Raw genomic sequence first — 24,117 nt, forward strand, 5'->3', positions numbered from 1 at the left:
CCCTAACATTAATATCTAGTCAACATTCAAATTTCCATAGTTGTCTTAAAAATGTCTTATTTGTAGCTGCTTTTTACAAACCAGAATGCAGTTAAGGATCACTAACTCCATTTGGTTCTTTTCTGATTGATTTTTAGCAGAAATGGATTTTGTTGCTATATTTCTTAAAGCTTTTAATCTAGAACTTTCCTTCCCCCAACAACACTTCTTTATTACATTTTATATATATATATATATATATATATATATATTTTTTTTTTTTTTTTTTTTTTTTTTTTTTTGAAACCGGGTCTCGCTCTCGCCCAGGCTGGAGTGCAGTAAGTAGCTTGATCTCGGCTCACTGCAACCTCCACCTTCCGTGTTCAAACTGTTCTCCTGCCTCAGCCTCCCAGGTAGCTGGGACTACAGACGCACACCATCACGCCTGGCCAATTTTTGTATTTTTAGTAGAGATGGGGTTTCACCGTGTTGGCCAGGCTGGTCTCAAACTCCTGACCTTTGGTGATCCTCCCACCTCGGCCTCCCAAAGTGTTGGGATTACAGGCGTGAGCCACGACACCCGGCCTATTATATTTTTTAATTGTGGTAAAAGATACATCACTTAAACTTTATCACCTTAACCATTTTTAAGTGTACAGTTCAGTGACATGTACATCCACATTGTGCAATCATCATCACTATTCATCTCTAGAACTTTTTCATCTTGCAAAATTGAAACTCTGTACCCATTTCCTCTTTCCTCAGCCCCTGGAAACCACCATTCTACTTTCTGTCTCTATAAATTAGATTATTCTAGAGACCTCATAGGTGGAATCATATAGTATTTGTCCTTTTGCAACTGGCTTATTTCACTTAGCATAATGTATACTTTTTAAAATGACTGCCTTTTTTTAAAAAAGGACAGGCCAGTTATTTTGTTTATACAATTTATTTATTATTATAATAATTATTGTTAGAGACAGGGTCTCACTCTGTCATCCAGGCTAGAGTGCAATGGTGTGATTGTAGCTCATCGTAGCCTCATCCTCCTGGGCTCAAGAGAATATCCTGCCTCAACCTCCTGAGGAGCTAGGACTACAGGTGCATACCACCATGCCTAGCCTTGTATAATTTTTTTTGTTGTTGTTTGTTTGTTTGTTTGTTTGAGATGGAGTTTCACTCTTGTTGCCCAGGCTGGAGTGCAATGGTGCCATCTCGGCTCACTGCAACCTCCACCTCCCGGGTTTAAGCGATTCTCCTGCCTCAGCCTCCCAAGTAGCTGGGTTTACAGGCATGTGCCATCACGCCCGGCTAATTTTGTATTTTTAGTAGAGACAGGGTTTCTCCCTGTTGGTCAGGCTGGTCTCAAACTCCCAAGAACTCAGGTGATCCACCCGCCTTGGCCTCCCAAAGTGCTGGGATTACAGGTGTGAGCTACTGCGCCCAGCCCAGTGTTTTATGTTATTGATTTATCTGATTGTTTCCTTTTGATATCATTTATATCATTTAATTTTCCTTTAGTCTACATGGTTCCTATAATCGTTACATCTGAGGGCTTGTTTAGATTGAAGTTAAACATTTATGCGAGACTACTTCATAGGTGGGAATATGCATTAAAATCAGTTTTAATTTCTAAAATGGCTTTCTAAAATGTCATTGTCTTCTGTGGGATTAGGAATAGCTTCTTCATCTAATTTCCATAGACTGGAAGAACCATCTTTTTGCCTTTTATGTTGGCCCAGAATAGCTCTATAGTTGAGCCCTCATTAATTTGTATGCCCACTGTATGTTGGCTGCTCCTAACTGAGGTCATTTCTGCTTTGGGGGAGCTCACAGTCTGTTGGAGTAAGGATTCACTGTTTTACCTTTCATCTCAGTACATTTCCATCTTCTTCCTCCCTTGCTTTAGCTGCTGCACAGGTTCTGGAACCTCTGGCGGTCTCAGATTGAGCAGAAAAAGGAAAGAGAGCTGCTCCCCTTACTGCATGCTGCCTGGGACCACTACAGGTAGGGACTCTGGTTTCATCCCTGGCTCTCAGGGACTTTGTGCCTCTGACTTACTGTTTTCCAGGAGTAATTGCTTGCCCTTCTATGCGTTAGTGTGGCAGATTCAGAAAGGCCTGCTGGGGTGGAGGTCCTGCTGTAAACCATTTGTTCCTGACTTTGGGTTTTTGGCTGATCAGATGGGAGATAGAATGAGCATATTTGCATTGGTTCTTGGCCACCATAGTCTGAAGTATGTGCCTGGTCGCTCACTGCCTTGGTCCTACAGGCATCAATATGTTCACAAGTTAGAATTCATGCATTGCTAGTGTTAAAGAGAAGGGTCAGGGACATTTGTGACTCAGTCTTAAAGTGTGCAGGGAATGTCCTCAATATTTTAGAGCTAGTCATTCAGTTAAATAAATAAAAACACTACATTTCTGTGAGGAAAACTCAGAATGTATAGGGTGGAAAGTATAAAGGGAAAAATAAAAGTTGCCTGGCCCCCTCCCTACAAGTAAGAGTAAGATCTTACTCCTCAGAAGGAAGCACTACGTATAAACTTTCTTGCTGCCAGAAATGTTCAATATGTCCTTCCTTTCTTTGCCCTCCTTTTTTCCTCTCCCCACAGTATAATCAACTTAATTTGCATAGTTTAGCTCCAATTTTGAAGCATTTTTTAATGAGTTAGTGAGAATCCCAATAATAAACTGACTCATTTAGAGTTATCAAGGCATATTATTCCAAACCCTGGTTTACAAAACCTAGTGTGAGAGGCAACATGTCGTGGACCCCCAGCGTTTGGCCATGAAACCAGAAAGTTCAGGATATCTAGGGGATTTCACACATATTTCCTAAATTCCAGAGCTACTGTGCTTTCGGTGGTCTAATTAGGTTTTACAAGAAAGTTGCAACATTTTAGGCAATCCACAGTCCAAAATCAGAGGTTGACAAATTTTATATTAGATATCAGGTTCTTATTGCCGTCTCTCCTAGAATGAAACTAGTAAGCCCATGGGGTGCCTTTAACTCACAGGAAGTAACTGTACCGCAATTTACCTGCCTTAAAACAAAGTTTTAAAAACTTGAAACCTGAAGGTGTTCTTCCTTTTGTTTCAGAATAGCACTGCTGTGCAAATGTATCGAATTGTGGCTACAGTATACTCAGAAGAGGCGGTACAAGCAGGTATGGAGTACTTTTTAGCAGATAGCTCTACTGGCTTACATTCTTGGACCCATTTGCTTTGGAAAGATTCTTGGAAAAGACCTATGCCAAGAAGTCTTATCGTTCTGCTTTGGAAGAGAGGGTGTTGAAAAAGCTCAAAGTCATTTCTTCCAGTTCCCACCTCTAATATCAGAAAGTCTGCATAACTCCCATTTCTTATCTGCTATGAAAATACAAGTTCTCTCTGAAAGTACTGAGCTCTTATCAGCCATTCACATCTTTACTCAAATTCATTTAGTCTCTGAGTTAGCCAGCCCTTCACCCAGTGGGACCTGCAAGAGGTACAGGGAGAGGTGCAGAGCATAAGTGCTGCATCCCAGTGCTAAACAGTGTGAGACACATGTCTCCCGGGGGTGGAGGATGTGAGGTCAGGACCACAAATAAGTAAAGGCAGATTGAGAAAGATAGATTCAATTCCATTTAAGAAATACTTATTGAGCAACTGCTGTTCTTCAGACACTGCACTAAGCACTGAGGATACAACTGTGATATAAAGTCAATAAAATTCCTGCTCTCCCAGGGCTCATACTTTAGCACCAGGGTGACAAATGAGTGTGACCTTACAAGCCCGTTCTACCAATTGGGAGTACCTGTCTGGAATGTTGAAGTGAGAAGGATTTCAAGGCCATATTTACACTCAGTGGGAAAGGGTTCAGTTGATGGCATCTGCCATTGTGAGAAGTGCCCCCTTTTTGGTCATCTCTGGCAGTGAAACAGAGGAAGACACAAACCAAACTCCTCCCAGTTATTTTCGTGCTGCCCACCCTACCCGTACCTCCATCTTCTGTTGGAGTCTAACAGGTGAATCTTTAGATTCACCTGTTAGCTAGTTCCCTATAGTTTGGGGATAGAATCCAAATTTTTAGCAAGGCCTACAAACTCCTTCGGGAGCTGGTCCCTGTCTGTTTCTCTCCCCTTTCCTGTTACCACTCTGTTCCTTCACAACTGCACTCTGACCAGTTAAGCTGCCAGTGGTTCCCTAAAGGTCCTCTGTGCCCTCCTGCTTCTCTTTGTACCTCCAGTTCTCTATTTCACACTCCCTTCCAGCTCAGATGTCACCTCCTCCCCCAGGCCAGTCCACCTCCACCCCTACCCCAGAGGCATAGCTTTATCAGAACATTCATCTTATAGTTGTTCACTGGCTTCTCTTTCCCCACAGGCTGTGAAGTCCTTTAGAGTACAGCCTGTCCCTTTTGCCTCCTTAGCCCACAGTGCTTGGCATGGGATATGTGCTAATATTTGGATGAATTAATGCACAGACCAACAAATGAACTGCTGTTGATTTCTTCAGAGTTTTTTTCCAAGGATGATCTAAGTCGATAGAGCTTGGATGCTACAGGGCATGGCCTCTTTTTGCGTCACTCTTGCCTCCTACACTTAAGAAATGCTAGAGTCACTGCATTCTTTGACATGCCTTTGGATTATGTTACTGGCTTTGAAAAGACATTGCCACTTGTTATCTTAAGTTCATGTAATACAAGTTCACCAGAATGCAGGAAAGCCTTTCAGAAAAAGACTATGAGTGTCAGAGTTGAAAGGTTGTATTTATTCAAGGTGGAGAGCAGAGGGTCTCTTTTATTTCCTTCCTGGAAAACGAGCACTCCCCTTGACACAGGGGCCCAACACTGGCGGACAGTCCAGGGTCAGCGTTTTCATCTCTCACACTGATCTAGCACGGCCTGCTTTCAAAGGTATAGCGGGTCTGAAAAATGGGAAGAGCACTGCTTAGTCATTCCTAAACCTTTAGCTAACAATCTGAATATCACCTCTTGGTATAGGTATCCCAGGAGCACATCAGATCTTTCTATTCTTAGACAAGATAAAAATATTATTTTTTGTGGGTTTCTTCCTTTTTAAAAAGTAACATACAGTCAGCCCTCTGTATCTGTGGGTTCCACATCCATAGATTCAACCAACCATGGATAAAAAATATTCAGAGGAAAAAAAGAGTAGTTGTGTCTGTACTGAACATATTCAGACCTTTTTTTCTTGTCATTAGCCCCTAAACAATATATAAACAATATAGCATAACAACTATGTACATAGCATTGACATTGTATTGGGTATTATGAGTAATCTAGAGATGCATACAGGAGGACTGTGTAGGTTATATGCAGATGCCAATTTATTTGTTTTGTTTTGTTTTTGAGACAGGTTTCACTTTGTCACCCAGGCTGGAGTACAGTGGCATGATCTTGGCTCACTGCAGCCTCACTCTCCCCAGGCTCAAGCGATTCTCCTGCCTCAGCCTCCCAAGTAGCTGGGACTACAGGTGCAAGCCACCACGCCCAGCTAATGTTTGTGTTTTGTTTTTTTTTTTGTAGAGGTGGGGTGCCACCATGTTACCCAGGCTGGTCTCAAACTCCCAAGCTCTGCCTGCCTCAGCATCCCAAAGTGCTGGGATTACAGGCATGAGCCACTGCACCCGGCCTGCTATACCATTTTATATAAGATACTTGAGTATCCATGGATTTTGGTATCTGAGAGGGGCCCTGGAACCAGTCCCCCACAAATACCAAAGGATGGCTCTTTGCAGAATGGCGAATGTTTGCTAACTGTTGAAGCTTGATGGTAGGGTCATGGGTATTCATTATACTGTCGGCTTCTACTTTTGTTTACATTTGAAAATGCCCATAATAAAAAATAGAAAAGCAATGTGTAGATATTATAGAAAATTTAGGAAGTATAAAAAGATATAAAGAAGAAAAAATAAAACCATTCATGACATTTGATGGGTAAGCCTGGTATCTCTCTTCCTCTGTTTGGGTAGGAGTGTATGTACCTATCTATTCACATACACATACATATGCATACTGATCCAATTATCTATTGCTATGTAAAAAATCACCCCAAACTCAGTGGTATAAGACAACAACCATTCTATTATGCTTTATGGATTATCAAAGATTGAGACAGGACTTAATGGGAATGGTTGGTTTCTGCTCCAAGATCAGCCTCAACTGAAAAGATTCTAATGGCAAGGGGTTAGAATTATCTAGACGTTTTCTTCACACACATCTAGATCCTGGATTAGAATGACTCAAAGACTGGGCTCAACTGGGAATGTTAACCAAAGAACCTGTGTATGACCTCTCTGTGAGGCTTGGGCTTCCTTACAGCATGGTGGCCTTGGGGTAGTCAGCTATCAGAGCTTCAAAATGAGTGTTCCAGTGAACAAGTCAGAAGCTCTGTGGCTCTTTGTATAGCCTCAGAACTCACACAGTGCCACTTTTACCATGTGCTATTGGTCAGAGCAGTCACTATCCCAGCCAGATTCAAGGGGAGGGAACATAGATCACTTCTCAGTGAAGGAGGAGCAAATAATTTGCAGCCATGTTTTTAAAACCTCTACACATTTGGGCTGGGCACGGTGGCTCATGCCTGTAATCCCAGCACTTTGGGAGGCCAAGGCAGGCAGATCGTGAGGTCAAGAGATCAAGACCATTCTGGTCAACATGGTGAAACCCTGTCTCTACTAAAAATACAAAAATTAGCTGGGCGTGGTGGCGCACGCCTGTAGTCCCAGCTACTCGGGAGGCTGAGGCAGGAGAATCACTTGAACCCGGGAGGCGGAGGTTGCAGTGAGCTGAGATTGTGCCACTGCACTCCAGCCTGGCAACAGAGTGAGACTCTGTCTCAAAAAAAAAAAAACAAAAAACAACAAAAAAAACAAAAACATAAAACCTCTATACATGCATATATGCTTTTTCCCCCCAAAGTTTTGGATCATGGAGACATATATGGTATATTCTTATGTCCATTGTCTGTCTTCCTACTGATGTATCAGTAAAATAGTAGACTTTTATAATTACATTAATGTGTATGACAAACACTATAAACAAAATCAAAAGATATATTATGGGGTGGGGAAATATTTAAGATTTATAACACATGACAAAGGACTAATAAATTGTTTAGGTTCAAAAACCCCATACATATCACTGAGTCAAATGCTAACAGACAGTGAAACAGGTAATGGGTATGAACACCTAAGCCAGGGGGAAGAGAGAGTGAGTGAGAGTGTGTGTATGTGTGTGCGTGTGTGTGTGTGTGTGTGTGTGTAGAAATGTTTAACTAATGTTTAAGTGAAAATTTTTTTACCTATCCTATTTCATTTTTCACCTAGCATATTGGCAAAGATAATAAATAATGATTCATCTTTTTCTCATTTTTATTATATAGGAAGCAATCCTCCCACAAGGGTGTGACCCTGAGAGGTCATGTTTAAAAAAAAAAAAGTTAAGTACAAAGGTTATTCATTCTTTTACTTTAGCTGCTACAGGCCAGAGCGGATGGTCATTTCCAGCAGAGAGCCCTGCCTGCTGCCTTCCACACATGGAACAGACTCTGGCGATGGCGCCACCAGGAAAATGTCCTCAGTGCAAGAGCAACACGTTTCCACAGGTATGTTGCGCAGCTCCTGTCTGCACTGGGGCAGGTGTTTCAAATCTAACTCTGACAACCACACAGCCCATTTGCTGTGCTTTTCAGCTTCCCAGACCCCAGGCCCTAGTACTTCCTGGATTTTCAGTAATGTGGGCTCATTGATTTCATCTAGCAGGAAAAGACAAGACAGTGTTTCCCCTGGGAAATCTTTTGTCCATCTTTATTTATTTATTTTTTTTGTGTGTGTGTATATATGTATTTATTAAAAAAAATGTGTAGTGTTTAATCTGAACAGCCAGTGGCTTAGTCAAGTTAACATATACATGAAGAGACTTATTATGAGGAATTGACTTACACTATTATGGAGGCTGAGAAGTTCCATGACCTGCCATCTGCAAGCTGGAGACTCAGGAGAGTGGGTAGTGCAATTCCAGTCTGTGTCCAAAGGCCTGGGAACCAAGGGGCCTCGAGGTGTAAATCCCAGTTGAAGGGCAGGAGAAGATGAGATGAGATCTGCCCACGCAGGCAGGCAGGAAGCAAAAGGGGCAGATTCTTTCTCCTTTTGTTCTACTCAGGCCCTCAAGGGGTTGGCTGAGGCCCCCGTACATTAGGAAGAGAAGTCTGCTCTACTGAGCCCACAGATTCAAATGCTTGTCTCATCTGCAAACACCCAGAAACACTGTTTAATCTGGGCACCCAGTGGCCCAGTCAAGTTGACACATAGAATCCACCACCATGGAGTAGAGAGAAGTCACAGAATCAGACTGCTTGGGTTCAAATCCTGGCTCTGTTCTGTGACCTTGGCCAAGGTACTCAAATGACCAATTCTCTAGTTTTCTCATCTCTGCAGTGGGGGAGTAATAGTGCTTACCTCAAAGGGTTATTCAGATTTTGGTAATTGGCTGTTGAGCTATTCAGATTTTCTAATTCTTATGTCAATTAATCATTTCAAGTTTTTTTTTGAGACAGAGTTTCACTCCTGTTGCCCAGGCTGAAGTGCGGTGGTGTGATCTCAGCTGACTGCAACCGCCGCCTCCCGGGTTCAAGCGATTCTCCTGCCTCAGCCTCCTGAGTAGCTGGAATTACAGGTGCCTGCCACCATGCCCAGCTAATTTTTTGTGTTTTTAGTAGAGACGGGGCTTTCACCATGTCAGCAAGGTCTCGAACTCCTGACCTCAGGTGATCCACCTGCCTGGGCCTCCCAAAGTGCTGGGATTACAGGCGTGAGCCACTGCGCCCGGCCAGCGTTTCAAGTTTTTAAGAGAATGTGTCCATTTCCCCTTCTCTTTTTATTTTATTTTTATTTTTATATATATTTTTAAATTTGAATTGCTTCTCTCTTTTTCTTGATTAGTTTTACTACTGGCTTTTCTATATTCCAACTTTTTTCTTTTTATTTATTTATTTATTTATTTATTTATTTTTTTATTGATAATTCTTGGGTGTTTCTCACAGAGGGGGATTTGGCAGGGTCATGGGACAATAGTGGAGGGAAGGTCAGCAGACAAACAAGTGAACAAAGGTCTCTGGTTTTCTTAGGCAGAGGACCCTGCGGCCTTCCGCAGTGTTTGTGTCCCTGGTTACTTGAGATTAGGGAGTGGTGATGACTCTTAATGAGCATGCTGCCTTCAAGCATCTGTTTAACAAAGCACATCTTGCACCGCCCTTGATCCATTTAACTCTGAGTGGACACAGCACATGTTTCAGAGAGCACAGGGTTGGGGGTAAGGTCACAGATCAACAGGATCCCAAGGCAGAGGAATTTTTCTTAGTGCAGAACAAAATGAAAAGTCTCCCATGTCTACTCCCTTCCACACAGACACGGCAACCATCCGACCTCTCAATCTTTTCCCCACCTTTCCCGCCCTTCCATTCCACAAAGCCGCCATTGTCATCCTGGCCCGTTCTCAATGAGCTATTGGGCACACCTCCCAGACGGGGTGGTGGCCGGGCAGAGGGGCTCCTCACTTCCCAGTAGGGGTGGCCGGGCAGAGGCGCCCCTCACCTCCCGGACGGGGCGGCTGGCCGGGCAGGGGGGCTGACCCCCCCCACCTCCCTCCCGGACGGGGCGGCTGGCCGGGCGGGGGGCTGAACCCCCCACCTCCCTCCCGGACGGGGCGGCTGGCTGGGCAGAGGGGCTCCTCACTTCCCAGTAGGGGTGGCCGGGCAGAGGCGCCCCTCACCTCCCGGACGGGGCGGCTGGCTGGGCGGGGGGGCTGACCCCCCCCACCTCCCTCCCGGACGGGGCGGCTGGCCGGGCAGAGGGGCTCCTCACTTCCCAGTAGGGGCGGCCGGGCAGAGGCGCCCCTCACCTCCCAGACGGGGTGGCTGGCCGGGCAGGGGGGCTGACCCCCCCCACCTCCCTCCCAGACGGGGCGGCTGGCCGGGCAGGGGGCTGACCCCCCCACCTCCCTCCCGGACGGGGCGGCTGGCCGGGCGGGGGGCCGACCCCCTCACCTCCCTCCCGGATGGGGCGGCTGGCCGGGCGGGGGGCCGACCCCCCCACCTCCCTCCCGGACGGGGCGGCTGGCCGGGCAGAGGGGCTCCTCACTTCCCAGTAGGGGCGGCCGGGCAGAGGCGCCCCTCACCTCCCAGACGGGGCGGCTGGCCAGGCGGAGGGCTGACCCCCCCACCTCCCTCCCAGACAGGGCGGCTGGCCGGGCGGGGGGCTGACCCCCCCACCTCCCTCCCGGATGGGGCGGCTGGTTGGGCAGAGGGGCTCCTCACTTCCCAGTAGGGGCGGCCGGGCAGAGGCGCCCCTCACCTCCCAGACGGGGTGGCTGGCCGGGCAGGGGGGCTGACCCCCCCCACCTCCCTCCCGGACGGGGCGGCTGGCCGGGCAGGGGGCTGACCCCCCCACCTCCCTCCCGGACGGGGCGGCTGGCCGGGCGGGGGGCCGACCCCCTCACCTCCCTCCCGGATGGGGCGGCTGGCCGGGCGGGGGGCCGACCCCCCCACCTCCCTCCCGGACGGGGCGGCTGGCCGGGCAGAGGGGCTCCTCACTTCCCAGTAGGGGCGGCCGGGCAGAGGCGCCCCTCACCTCCCAGACGGGGCGGCTGGCCAGGCGGAGGGCTGACCCCCCCACCTCCCTCCCAGACAGGGCGGCTGGCCGGGCGGGGGGCTGACCCCCCCACCTCCCTCCCGGATGGGGCGGCTGGTTGGGCAGAGGGGCTCCTCACTTCCCAGTAGGGGCGGCCGGGCAGAGGCGCCCCTCACCTCCCAGACGGGGCGGCTGGCCGGGGGGAGGGCTGACCCCCCCACCTCCCTCCCGGACGGGGCGGCTGGCCAGGCGGGGGGGCTGACCCCCCCATCTCCCTCCCGGACGGGCTGGCTGGCCGGGCTGAGGGGCTCCTCACTTCCCAGTAGGGGCGGCCGGGCAGAGGCGCCCCTCACCTCCCGGACGGGGCGGCTGGCCGGGCGGGGGGCTGACCCCCCCACCTCCCTCCCGGACGGCACGGCTGGCCAGGTGGGGGGCTGACCCCCCCACCTCCCTCCCGGACGGCACGGCTGGCCGGGCGGGGGGGCTGACCCCCCACCTCCCTCCCGGATGGGGCGGCTGGCCGGGCGGGGGGCTGACCCCCCCCCACCTCCTTCCCGGACGGGGTGGCTGCCGGGCGGAGACGCTCCTCACCTCCCAGATGGGGCGGCTGCCGGGCGGAGGGGCTCCTCACTTCTCAGACGGGGTGGTTGCCAGGCAGAGGGTCTCCTCACTTCTCAGACGGGGCGGCCGGGCAGAGACGCTCCTCACCTCCCAGACGGGGTCTCGGCCGGGCAGAGGCGCTCCTCACATCCCAGATGGGACGGCGGGGCAGAGGCGCTCCCCACATCTCAGACGATGGGCGGCCGGGCAGAGACGCTCCTCACTTCCTAGATGTGATGGCGGCTGGGAAGAGGCGCTCCTCACTTCCTAGATGGGATGGCGGCCGGGTGGAGACGCTCCTCACTTTCCAGACTGGGCAGCCAGGCAGAGGGGCTCCTCACATCCCAGACGATGGGCGGCCAGGCAGAGACACTCCTCACTTCCCAGACGGGGTGGCGGCCGGGCAGAGGCTGCAATCTCGGCACTTTGGGAGGCCAAGGCAGGCGGCTGGGAGGTGTAGGTTGTAGTGAGCCGAGATCACGCCACTGCACTCCAGCCTGGGCACCATTGAGCACTGAGTGAACGAGACTCCGTCTGCAATCCTGGCACCTCGGGAGGCCGAGGTTGGTGGATCACTCGCGGTTAGGGGCTGGAGACCGGCCCGGCCAACACAGCGAAACCCCGTCTCCACCAAAACCAGTCAGGCGTGGCGGCGCGTGCCTGCAATCGCAGGCATTCGGCAGACTGAGGCAGGAGAATCAGGCAGGGAGGTTGCAGTGAGCCGAGATGGCAGCAGTACAGTCCAGCTTCGGCTCCGCATGAGAGGGAGACCATGGGGAGACGGAGACGAGGGAGAGGGAGAGGGACAGGGAGAGGGAGAGGGAGAGGGAGGTGTCCATCTTTATTTCAAGGGCTTTCAAAACAGCCTGTTTGTAACCTTCATTATTAGCCACTGAGAGCTCCATTAAAGCAGCCCATTAGCTTTCTGGATCAGAGCACGGTGGGACCTTGCCTCACCTTGGCAGACATTCTTAAGTGTCATTTCCCCGAAACACTTAGTTCCTGTTCTGCTAGACCTGGCTTTTTGAAGTCTTGAAATGATAGTCATCAACAAAATTACAAAGGTCGGGCCGGGTGCAGTGGCTCACACCTGTAATCCCAGCACTTTGGGAGGCCGGAGCGGGCGGATCACAAGGTCAAGAGTTCAAGACCAGCCTGGCCAACATGGTGAAACCCTCTCTTTACTAAAGATACAAAAATTAGCCCGGTCTGGTGGCACATGCCTGTAATCCCAGCTACTCGGGAGGCTGAGGCAGGAGAATTGCTTGAACTTGGGAGATGGAGGTTGCCGTGAGCTGAGATCGCATCATTGCACTCCAGCCTGGGTGACAGGGCGAGACGCCGTCTCAAAAAAAAAAAAAAAGAAAAGAAAAAGGCCGGGCCTGGTGGCTCATGTCTGTAATCCCAGCACTTTGGGAGTCCAAGGCGGGCGGATCACGAGGTCAGGAGATCAAGACCATCCTGGCTAACACGGAGAAACCCTGTCTCTGCTAAAAATACAAAAAATTAGCCGGGCGTGGTGGTGGGCGACTGTAGTCCCAGCTACTCAGGAGGCTGAGGCAGGAGAATGGCATGAACCTGGGAGGCGGAGCTTGCAGTGAGCTGAGATCACACCACTGCACTCTAGCCTGGGCGACAGAGTGAGACTCTGTCTCAAAAAAAAAAAAAAAAAAAAAAATTAGAAAGCTCAAGGAGCAGATCTACATCTTTTTAGTTCCCACAGGGACAAACTTGCCCACAGCAGGTTCTTAGTATATGGTGGGACATAATGAAGAAATAATAATAATTTATTTATTTATTTATTTATTTATTTTTGAGTTGGAGTCTTGTCCTTTCGCCCAGGCTGGCATGCAGTGGCACCATCTTGACTCACGGCAAACTCCACATCCTGGGTTCAAGTAATTCTCCTGCCTCAGCCTCCCAAGTAGCTGGGATTACAGGTGTGCGCCACCACGCCCGGCTAATTTTTTGTATCTTTAGTAGGGACGGGGTTTCACCATGTTGGCCAGGCTGGTCTCGAACTCCTGACCTCGTGATCCACCCGCCTTGGCCTCCCAAAGTGCTGGGATTACAGGCATGAGCCACCACGCCCAGCCTGTAATGAAGAAATTATTAATCACTAACTGTATGTCTGCCACTGTGTTGGGCATTGTGTGATGGGAGACAGAAAACAAATACATAAACTCATTCTGCCCATGGCATCATTATCTTCATTAATAATTTCCTTTTCACAGTGATTCTGAGAGGTCAGGTTCAAAATGATAAATGGTAACACAACCAGTAAGTGGTACAGCCAGGTTAATTCACATCTCCAGTTCCAAAGTCCAGGTGCTTTCTTCTTGATCAAGAGGAAGATCTTTTTGATGACTTTGTAGGAGGGTGAAATTTTTGTGAGGAGATAAGAAACAACTGAGAACCAATTCAAGAGAACAGATCCACGTGTCCCCAGTCATGTCAGCCACAAGTTCTTCCAGTGCTCAGAGCTAGTGCTGAGGGAGACTGAGCATGGAAGTATCTGGGAGAGGCTTCCTGTGAGTGAGAGGGTGAGGATGGTGGCTGGAGTGGGCAAGATGGGGAGGCCCAGACTGAAGAGATTGGGCTGACCCTATAGATAGATATTCGAAAGATATTTGAGCAGGTACATGGAACTAGTAAAATGACAGTTTTGGAAATTACCTTAAGTTCAGTGTACTTTATCTTAGGACAGAGGGGTGAGATGGAGGGGCATGCATTGGGAGAAGTTGCAGTCATCTTTAATCTGGAGGATTTCAGGCCAGGTGTGGCGGCTCATGCCTGTAATCCCAGCACTTTGGGAGGCAGAGGTGGGTGGATCATTGGAGGTCAGGAGTTTCAGACCAGCCTGGCCAACATGGTGAAACCCCATGTCTACTAAAAATACAAAAATTAGCGGGGCGTGGTGGTGCATGCTTATAATCCCAGCTACTCCGGAGGCTGAGGCACAAGAATCACTTTAACCCAGGAGGCAGAGGCTACAGTGAGTTGAGATGGCGCCACTGCACTCCAGCCTTGGATGACAGAGCGAGACTCCATCTCAAAATAAATATCTCTCTCTCTCTCTATCTATCTGTCTATCCATCTGGAGGGCTTTGAATGCTAGTTTGAGGTTAGCCAGAACTCTGGCTTCCTTAGTACGAAGTCCAGGGAGATGGTTTTAGGTGGTGGCCACGGGAAATAGAGGCTGATGAAAGGACATCTCTTGTCTCTTCTGGCTTCTGCAGACAGAGCAGCTTTGCCTTTACCTAGTCATGTATTGTGGGCTGGTATAAGATTCATTCAAAAATGGCTTCAGGCTGGACGCGGTGGCTCACACCTGTAATCCCAGTACTTGGGGAAGCTAAGGCAGGTGGATCACCTGAGGTCAGAAGTTGGAGACCAGTCTGACCAACATGGCAAAACCCCATCTCTACTAAAAATACAAAAATTGGCCAGGCATGGTGGCGCACATCCCAGCTACTCGGGAGGCTGAGGCAGGAGAATCGCTTGAACCTAGGAGGTGGAGATTGCAGTGAGCCGAGATCGCACCACTGCACTCCAGCCTAGGTGACAGAGCAAGATTCCATCTCAAAAAAAAAAAAAAAAAATGGCTTCAGTACTGAAAACACGCACACACAGTACCCGTTTCTAAATGGCTTCAGTACTGAAGACACGCACACACAGTACCCGTTTCTAAATGGCTTCAGTACTGAAGACACGCACACACGGTACCCGTTTCTAAATGGCTTCAGTACTGAAAACGCGCACACACGGTACCCGTTTCTAAATGGCTTCAGTACTGAAGACACGCACACACGGTACCCGTTTCTAAATGGCTTCAGTACTGAAGACACGCACACACAGTACCCGTTTCCAAATGGCTTCAGTACTGAAAACATGCACACACAGTACCCGTTTCTTTTTTTACTGTCAAGTAGCCGTGCTTGGTTCTATTCTTTTTTTGTATTTTGTATGCTGTGAGAACCAAAAATTAAAAGTACCTTCCAAATAGCCAAGAGGAGCCTTTAAAGGATTTTTGCTAGGGAGCAGTTTGGGTGGTTTTAGAGCTATCACTCTGGAGAAAAAGGGCAGAGGGCGACTTGGAGACAGGGTATAGCCAGGAGGCTTGCAGGACGGTGTAGGCCTGATCTAGATTTTTACCTGTTTTGGCTTGGTTGGACCTTTTCAGTAAACTTGGTTTTTTGGATTCCTGTTTTCCTTGTTCATGAGCAGAGTGATTGAGAGTCTGGCTTAGAAGCTGGACAAGCCTGAGTTCAGACCTATGCTCTGTCGCCTGCCAGCTCTGTGACCCTGGACAAGTCAGTCTGTCTCTCTGAGCCTCAGTCTCCTCGAATGTAAAATTGAGATGATGTGGTCATAGTCTCTATCTCATATGGTTGTCATGAAAATGAAATGGGAAAACATGTAAAATGCAAACCAAGGGCCTAGCATAAAAATATGAACTGTCCCTGTGGCCCCTGGAGTTGTTTTAATTTGTGACTCTCATGGTAAGTACATTTTCAGAGGATTGGTTTGGAGTTTAGCAAATTAAAGTTCCAAATAAATATGTATCTTTGATATTCTTAGGGTATTTTTTAATGTTTTAGGAATATAGACAGATTTTATGATGGAATCTCATGAATTATGGCTAAAAATAATTTTTATAACCCTCCAGTGAAAGGTACTGAGAATGAGACAAAATTGGTTTGTCTTTTATTTTAATCGAGATAAAATGTGTATACAGTGAAAGGCATAGATTTTAAATAAAGTTCGATGAGTTTTCATAGGTTTTTTTTTTTTTTGAGACGGAGTCTCGCTCTGTTGCCCAGGCTGGAGTGCAGTGGCGTGATCTTGGCTCACTGCAAGCTCCACCTTCTGGGTTCATGCCATTCTCCTGCCTCAGCCTCCTGAGTAGCTGGGACTACAGGTGCCCACCACCACACCCGGCTAATTTTTTGTATTTTTTTTTTTTTAGTAGAGAAGGGGTTTCACTGTGTTAGCCAGAATGGTCTGGATCTCCTGACCTCATGATCCGCCCGCCTTGGCCTCCCAAAATGCTGGGATTACAGGCGTGAGCCACCATGCCCGGCCGAGTTTTCATAATTTATGCACCTATATAATCAACACTCCAGTCAAGATACAGAACATTTCTGTTACCCCAGAAAGTTCCTTCATGTCCCCTCCAGTCAGTCCCTACCCTGCATAGGTAACCAGTATTCTGATTTCCGTCATCATAGGTTAGTTTTGCATGGTTTTTTTCTTGTCGCCCAGGCTGGAGTGCAGTGGCGCTGTCTCAGCTCACTGCAAGCTCTGCCTCCCAGGTTCATGCCATTCTCCTGCCTCAGCCTCCCGAGTAGCTGGGACTACAGACGCCTGCCACCACGCCCAGCTAATTTTTTGTATTTTTAGTAGAGACGGGGTTTCACTGTTAGCCAGGATGGTCTCGATCTCCTGACCTCGTGATCCGCCCGCCTCGGCCTCCCAGAGTGCTGGGATTACAGGCATAAGCCACTGCGCCTGGCCTTTTTTTTTTTTTTTTTTTTTTTGATGAGCAGAAGTGTTTGAATTCTGTTGGATTGATACAGTCCAGTTTATCTTTTTTTTTTTTTTTTTTTTTTGAGATGGAGTCTTGCTCTGTTGCCCAGGCTGGAGTGCAGTGGCACGATCTCAGCTCACTGCAGCCTCCACCTCCCAGGTTCAAGCAACTCTCCTGCCTCAGCCTCCTGAGTAGCTGGGATTACAAGCGCACACCACCACGACCAGCTAATTTTTGTGTTTTTAGTAGAGACGGGGTTTCACTGTGTTGGTCAGGCTGATCTCGAACTCCTAAGCTTGTGATCCGCCCGCCTCGGCCTCCCAAAGTGCTGGGATTACAGGTGTGAGCCACCGCGCCCGGCCCAATTTATCCTTTTTTTTTATGGTTAGTGATTTTAGGGTCCTCCCTAAGAAATATTTGCTACTCTAAGATCTGAAAATATATTTTCCTATATTTTATCTGGAAGCTTTATAGTTTTAGCATTTACATTTAGGTCAATGATCATCTTGAATTTTTTTTCTACATATGATATGACGTAGGAGTCAAGGTTTATTTTTTTCTGTGTTTATCAGGTTTTTCCAGCACCATTTGTTGAAAAGCCTTTTTTTTTGAGACAGAATCTCGCTCTATTGCCAGGCTGGAGTGCAGTGGCAGTGGCACAATCTCGGCTCACTGCAATCTTCGCCTCCCAGGTTTAAGCGATTCTCCTGCCTCAGCCTCCCAAGTAGCTGGGACTATAGGCACACGCCACCACGCCCAGCTAATTTTTGTATTTTTAGTAGAGACAGGGTTTCACCATGTTGGGTTGGCCAGGATGGTCTCCATCTCTTGACCTCGTGATCCACCTGCCTTGGCCTCCCAAAGTGCTGGGATTACAGGCGTGAGCCACCGTGCCTAGCCCAGACTAATTTTTTTTTCTAATTTTTTGTAGAAAAAGGGTCTCACTATGTCACCCAGTCTGGTCTCAAACTCCTGGGGTCAAGTGATCCTCCTGCCATGGCCTCTCACTGTTCTGGGATTACAGGCGTGAGCCACCATGCCTGGCCCAGTTCTGTTTAGAATTAATATACCATTTCATGTTTAGTGCAAGAACATGAAAACAATAAAATTCTATTTTGTCCCCATCCTTGATGATATTTTTATTGTTGTTATTTTTTTTTTTTTTAAGAAATAAATCATAGTGGGGATTCACTATGTTGTCCAGGCTGGTCTTGAACTTCTGGGCTCAAGACATCCTCCTGCCTCAGCCTTTCAAAGTGCTGGGATTACAGGAGTGAGCCACCACCCCCAACCAGTGGTACTTTTTGTCATACATTTTATGTCTAACGATTGATTGATTGTAGAGACGAGGTCTCACTATGCTGCCCAGGCTGGTTTTGAACTCCTGAGTTCAAGCAATCCTCCTGCCTCAGCCTCCTGAAGTGTTAGGATTACAGGCATGAGCCACCAGGCCCAGCCTACAACGTTACTATTTTTGCTTTAAATAATCAGTACTCTTTTTATAAATTGAGAAGAAAAAAATTCAGCCTCTTATATTTACCCACATATTTTCCCTTTCCAGTGTTCCTTGTGTCTTCCTGTACATTTGAATGTTCATCTGTATCATTTCCCTTCAGCCTAAAGATGATCTTTTAGTGTTTTTATACTAAGGTCAACTGGGGTTGAACGATCTCAGCTTTTGTGTCTGGTCTCTGCCCTCTGGCTGGGCCAGAGCTCCGTCTTTCAACCCTGTCCAGCTTCTGCTGTCTCTGTTCCCCTCTTGGCCCTGCAGCAGTCACTCTCTGCTAGGCCTCCAGGCCCTCATCTGAGGACCTGGGACAACCTCAGTAAAATTTTGGGTATTTCCCTCTGTTCAGCTGTCTCCTTTCTAGTACCCTGACCCCAAATTCCAGCCCCTCTGGCAGTCATGAACTCCAGTCTTTGCCTCCTCAGCTCACTGAGACTGAGGGAGGCTCTGCTTAGCCTCCCTTCCCCTCACTGTTTAGAAGGTGCCCCCAGGCAGAAAGTCTGGGCGGCCTAGGGGCTCACCTCGCCCGTGTCCTATCTTTTCAGCATCAGAATCTACACTTACTGTCCAGCGCCTGAAGACAGTTGCCATATGTATTTTGTCTAGTTTTGTCATATATGGCCAGAGGGCAGATCCAGGACCAGTGACTGTGTTCTGACTAGAAGTGGAATCTTTGCTTTAAGTGATGTGTCTTGCGTGTTAAATGTCAGGGGAGCAAGATCCCCCAGTGCTGAACATGGATCCTGTGGCTTCACCAACATGTAGCCCCTAGTGGCTGTTGGTCAATTGTCCCAGCACTGCTGCTGCAGGATTTGATGTTGTTAATGGTGATCTGTAGGCCTAGGCAGAGATGACAAAACAGTGGTTCCCAAACCTTTTTACTTTTCTTTACTTTTTTTTTTTTTTTTTTTTTTGCAACCTCTGTGGCCCAGGCTGGAGTGCAGTGGCACGATCTCGGCTCACTGCAAGCTCCGCCTCCCGGGTTCATGTCATTCTCCTGCCTCAGCCTCCCAAGTAGCTGGGACTACAGGCGCCCACCACCAGGCCCAGCTAATTTTTTATATTTTTAGTAGAGATGGGGTTTCACCGTGTTAGGCAGGATGGTCTCGATCTCCTGACCTCATGATCCGCCCACCTCGGCCTCCCAAAGTGCTGGGATTACAGGCGTGAGCCACTATGCCCGGCCAACCTTTCTACTTTTCTAATTCACCTGAAATACTTGTTTAAAATACTATTTCCTGGGACCCCCCCTCAGACTTGCTCAGTCAGCCTTAGGGGTCTGCCCCTTGTTTTTCAACAGGTCCCCAAAGCGTTGGTCAGCATGCACTGGAAAGGGCTCTCATGAACAATCCTTTATCAGTGCTGTTAAGTCAATATAGAATTAATGAAGACCTGGGGTCTCAGGGTCTGAGTCTTTTTCGTACGGTGTGAAGGCTTGGCTGATACCAGAAACAACCTGGAAAATGTTGGCCTTTTTAACAGTTTATGGTTTTTTGGCTGTCTGCTTTCCTTCCCTTTCTCTTTGTGTTGCTTTCTCCCTCATCTAAGCTTATTCACCTCTTTTATTTTTTTCAGAGACGGGGTCTCACTCTGTTGCCCAGGCTGGAGTGGAGTGGCGTGATCATAGTTCACCACAGCCTCAAACTCCTGGGCTCAGGCGATCCCCCCACCTCAGCCTCCCAGGTAGTTGGTACTACAGGCACACACCATCACACCCAGCAATTTTAAAATTTTTTTGTAGAGATGGAGTTTTGCTATGTTGCCCAGGCTGGTCTTGGCCTCCAGCGATCCTCCTGCCTTGGCCTCCCAAAGTATTAGGATTGCAGACATGGGCCACTGTGCCCAGCCACTTAATTCACCTCTTATACGATAGCATGGTATAAAAGGAAAAATCCAATTATTTGGAACTTCTAGTTCTGTTTGGGTTAATTTTTATGTTTGTTTTAAGTGCTTTACATTCTTCCTTGTTTTTTAGGGAGACATTAGAGAAGCAAGTATTTTCTCTCTGGAGGCAGAAGATGTTTCAGCATCGAGAAAACCGCCTGGCAGAGAGAATGGTAAATGGCTGTCCCTGAGGAGATGTGTGGAGGGGCAGGATCTGATTCAAGCCATTGCACTCACGGCCTCCCCTCCTCAGGAAGTTGCTCGGACCTCACTGGAGGGCCCCTGCCTGTGACTGTTGAGGCAGGGCAGGCTCTGGGGCATCTGTCCTTTCTCAGTGGAGCCTACAGACAGCTTCTGGGCTGGACCACGTCCTGACATCCATTCCTTTTGCCTTAGTCATTATTTGTGGCCTGTAAATTCTTTCCTGGCTTCTGTGCCTCTCTCCTACTTGATTTATTCTGTTCTCTCCTTCCTGTCCTGCCTCAGGCCATCCTTCACGCAGAGCGACAGCTTCTGTATAGGTCTTGGTTCATGTGGCACCAGCAGGCAGCAGCACGTCACCAGGAGCAGGAGTGGCAAACAGTGGCCTGTGCCCACCACCGCCACGGGCGGCTCAAGAAAGCTTTCTGCCTCTGGAGGGAAAGTGCCCAAGGGCTCAGAACAGAGTGAGTGGCCAGTTCTGCCTTACAAGCCTTTCCATCACAGGCCAGCTTTGCTTGTTCTAGCAGCACCATGAGCTCCAAGTGCCTGTCTGGAGGACTGCATTACCCCAGACTCTGGTTGTAAGTTCTGGAAGTTCAACCTAAAAGAGTCTTAAGTAAAACTAGGTTGGCCGGGCACAGTGGCTCACGCCTGTAATCCCAGCACTTTGGGAGGCTGAGGCGGGCAGATCACCAGAGGTCAGGAGTTCGAGACCAGCCTGACCAACATGGAGAAAACCCTCTCTATTAATAATACAAAAATTAGCCAGGCGTGGTGGCGCAAGCATGTAATCCCAGTTACTCAGGAGAGTGAAGCACGGAAATTGGCATGAACCCGGGAAGTGAAGGTTGCAGTGAACCGAGATGGCACCGCTACACTCCAGCCTGTGCAACAGAGCGAGACTCTGCCTCAAACGAACAAAAGTGACCATAGCCAGGGAATAAACTGATGGGCCCATATTGTGATAGCTGACTGCTGCAGATAAGGGATAGGGACAGCAGCTGTGGCCAGTGGGTGGGTTGTGGCAGTTTTTAACCACACCACGTAGTTAAGAGAGAGGAGGGGAGGCAGCCCAGTCACTATAGAGACTGTCCTGCTTTGGGGCCTTTCAGTGTCCACTGTGTGTTCTGAGGATCTCACTCCCTGTCGCACACTGACCATGTTTAACCAGTTTCTCAGTTGGGGGCTTCACACCTGCACATGTGAGCTTCAATGGCACCTGAAGCCCTGGGAAGTTGTAGGCCAAAATTTGATCATAGGTGCTTTTTTCTGAGACTGCAAGTTCTTTGGCAGCTCTTCAGAGAGGGTCTTGGCTCCCCCAAAAACTTAACCAGGTAGGGCTATGGACTATGAGGAGGAACCCATAGAGGGTGCCCTCACTGGGTGGGGGCTGCAGCACTGAGCTCTGCCATCTCCCCACAGGAGGACGGGCAGGGTGCGGGCAGCAGAATTCCACATGGCCCAGCTCCTGCGTTGGGCCTGGAGCCAGTGGAGGGAGGTAAGGCTTTGGTGCGAGGTGCCACCCGTGTATGACTTTTGGACAGGTGGGCTGTGTGTCAGCAGGACTCACAGGCAACATATGGGCCACACCACCTACCTCTGAGCTGAAGGAGGAGAACAGGCAGCATAGAAAGTGTTAACTCAGTTTTATGAGCTGATTTGGCTCAAAATTTTGTGTTCTTTCAGATCCTAGGCTGTTCTTATTTGAACTTACTGCATCTAAAATTCCTGATCTAACCATTTACAGGAGTCCTACGTCCTACTGAGTGTAAAACATGTTTAAACTCACATTAATTGAGCTTTTACCGCAAATCAAGCACTTACCTCATCAAATCATCACAGAACCCCTAAGAAGCACGTATTTATAGATGAGGCCAGAGAGGTTAATTTACACTCACACAGATGATGTATAAAATGGAGGCAAAGCAGGAAGCCACCCCCAACTCAGACCCCAGCCCACGGTAGCTGCTTTCTCCTCTGTCTGCAGTGCCTGGCCCTGCGGGGAGCGGAGCGGCAGAAGCTGATGCGAGCAGACCTGCACCACCAGCACAGCGTGCTGCACAGGGCGCTGCAGGCATGGGTGGTAGGAACTGCTGCTTCCCTCCTGATCTTGCTGTGGGGACAGGGGAGGTTTCTGGAGACTTTGTTTTCCTTCCTTGTTCTTCCTGTCCGTCCCAGAACAGAGTCACGTGACACACCTCAAACCAAGCAGGTGCCCCGGACAGCGGGCCTTAGGCCATAGGGTTCTTTGATTCTTGCTTGGCCAAGTGGAAACAAGTGCTGTCTGTGGGTACTAGCCTTGTAGCGAAAGCAGCTCCTTTCCCTGGAGTCCCATGGTTTGACTTAGGAGGTGAGGGCCTGTGAGACAGTTTCTCCCTGTCGTCTGGGAGGGTCTGCTGGCCCTGGGACCAGGGGCTGTTGGCCTCTTCCTACCCTTTTTGAGTTCTCTGGGCATGGCAGCCTTGTGGTAGATGCACCTCTGAGGCCTGCCTAAACAGGGGGAAGTGTGGGCCCAAGAGCAGCCTCAGTCTTCCTTGTCCCCTACAGACTTACCAGGGCAGGGTGCGAAGCATCCTCCGGGAGGTGGCAGCCAGGGAGAGCCAGCACAACAGGCAGCTGCTGCGGTGAGTCTCCCGGGCGCCTCCCAAGCTCCAGCTGGGGAACAAGGAATGCACTCCAAACCCCAGCCTTTTAGGGGGTCCTGCTGAGGGCCAGGTCGGGGATGATCCCGGGTTCCTAGTCGCTAATATCATGGTCTTGGCTTTTCCACTTCACTCACGGGTTCGCCTTCATGTCTTAAGCCCCTGCTGTGTGCAGGGCAGGACCTTGGAAAGCAGCTGTTACCTGCATGCCTTAAAGGCCACTTGTCTTGCTCTTCTGAGCACTTTTTCCTCCCTGCTTCACGCCTACAAAATTCAGCTTTGCAAGGCACCTTGTCATCTCTTCCACTCCAGAGGCTTCAGCGACTCCCTTTCCTGTCAATTTCCAAGTAGTCCCCTTCCAGCTTGCTCTGCAGGCCTGTCACTGACTCTCCAGCGTCACCTCTAGGCCCTGTCAGACCATCTGCACCACTCACCCCTGTGGAGGGTGCTTCTGCAGCTTCTGCCACTCTTTCTAAGCCCAACTCTAACCTCACTCCTTCCCAGCAGTCCTCCCACATGCCCCCTTTCATTTCCTTCCTTTGTATTTGTTCAGCACATGATACTCCTGGTGGCCTATGGACAGTGGGTCTCGTGGACTTTAAACACCTCCATCCTTAGCTGGGCGCGGTGGCTCATGCCTGTAATCCCAGCACTTTAGGAGGCTGTTTGACACCAGGAGTTTCAGACCAGCCTGGGCAACATAGCGAGACCTTGTCTGTACTAAATATAAAAAAAATTAGCTAGGCACGGTCATGTATGCCTGTGGTTCAGGTACTTGGGAGGCTTAGGTGGGAGGGTCACTTGAACCTTGAAGGTCAAGGCCACAGTGAGCCGTGATTATGCCACTGCACTCCAGCCTGGGCGATGGAGTGAGACCCTGTCTCTCAAAAGTAAATAAATAAAATAAATGCCTCCATCCCTCATATGGAGTCCCATAGAGCACCCATCCCGCTCTTCAGACAGGGTGGAATAAGCAAGAACTCCCTGAGCTAACTCAGCAGCAAGCTGAGGCGTAGGCAACCTTCCTCCAGGTTCCCTGTCTCTCCACACTTCTCTTATCACAGTGTGAGTCACCTGTGTTGCCACTGCCTGGTTATGCCCTGTTATCCCCGTAGCACCTGGAGTTTGGTCTCCAGCAGT

At 49.1% G+C, this 24,117-nt stretch overlaps 1 protein-coding gene across 5 annotated transcripts in view, besides 3 other annotated features; it reads left to right on the forward strand.

The window, feature by feature from the left end:
* Nucleotides 1-24,117, forward strand: part of SFI1 (SFI1 centrin binding protein) — a 122,450-nt gene that overhangs the window by 85,848 nt on the left and 12,485 nt on the right. For all 5 annotated transcript variants that reach the window (NM_001258325.1, NM_001007467.3, NM_014775.4 and 2 more), the window contains 8 exons: nt 1,889-1,986; nt 3,082-3,148; nt 7,461-7,591; nt 20,226-20,307; nt 20,621-20,799; nt 21,758-21,833; nt 22,323-22,418; nt 22,883-22,959. In NM_001258325.1, the coding sequence (NP_001245254.1) occupies nt 1,889-1,986; nt 3,082-3,148; nt 7,461-7,591; nt 20,226-20,307; nt 20,621-20,799; nt 21,758-21,833; nt 22,323-22,418; nt 22,883-22,959 (806 nt within the window). The remainder of the gene's footprint in view (nt 1-1,888; nt 1,987-3,081; nt 3,149-7,460; nt 7,592-20,225; nt 20,308-20,620; nt 20,800-21,757; nt 21,834-22,322; nt 22,419-22,882; nt 22,960-24,117) is intronic.
* Nucleotides 406-625: an enhancer, noted in NCBI's record as "active region_18863". NCBI's record gives its function as "activates an Ori minimal core promoter by ATAC-STARR-seq in GM12878 lymphoblastoid cells {active_cell/tissue: GM12878}" and the evidence as "EXISTENCE:reporter gene assay evidence [ECO:0000049][PMID:35858748]".
* Nucleotides 9,038-9,847: an enhancer, noted in NCBI's record as "NANOG-H3K27ac hESC enhancer chr22:31987010-31987819 (GRCh37/hg19 assembly coordinates)". NCBI's record gives its function as "activates a minimal SCP1, AML or CMV promoter by ChIP-STARR-seq in naive H9 embryonic stem cells {active_cell/tissue: H9 hESC(naive)}" and the evidence as "EXISTENCE:reporter gene assay evidence [ECO:0000049][PMID:30033119]".
* Nucleotides 10,657-11,465: an enhancer, noted in NCBI's record as "H3K27ac-H3K4me1 hESC enhancer chr22:31988629-31989437 (GRCh37/hg19 assembly coordinates)". NCBI's record gives its function as "activates a minimal SCP1, AML or CMV promoter by ChIP-STARR-seq in naive H9 embryonic stem cells {active_cell/tissue: H9 hESC(naive)}" and the evidence as "EXISTENCE:reporter gene assay evidence [ECO:0000049][PMID:30033119]".

Source organism: Homo sapiens, chromosome 22 (assembly GCF_000001405.40).
Source record: "Homo sapiens chromosome 22, GRCh38.p14 Primary Assembly".
NCBI classification, from domain to species: domain Eukaryota; kingdom Metazoa; phylum Chordata; class Mammalia; order Primates; family Hominidae; genus Homo; species Homo sapiens.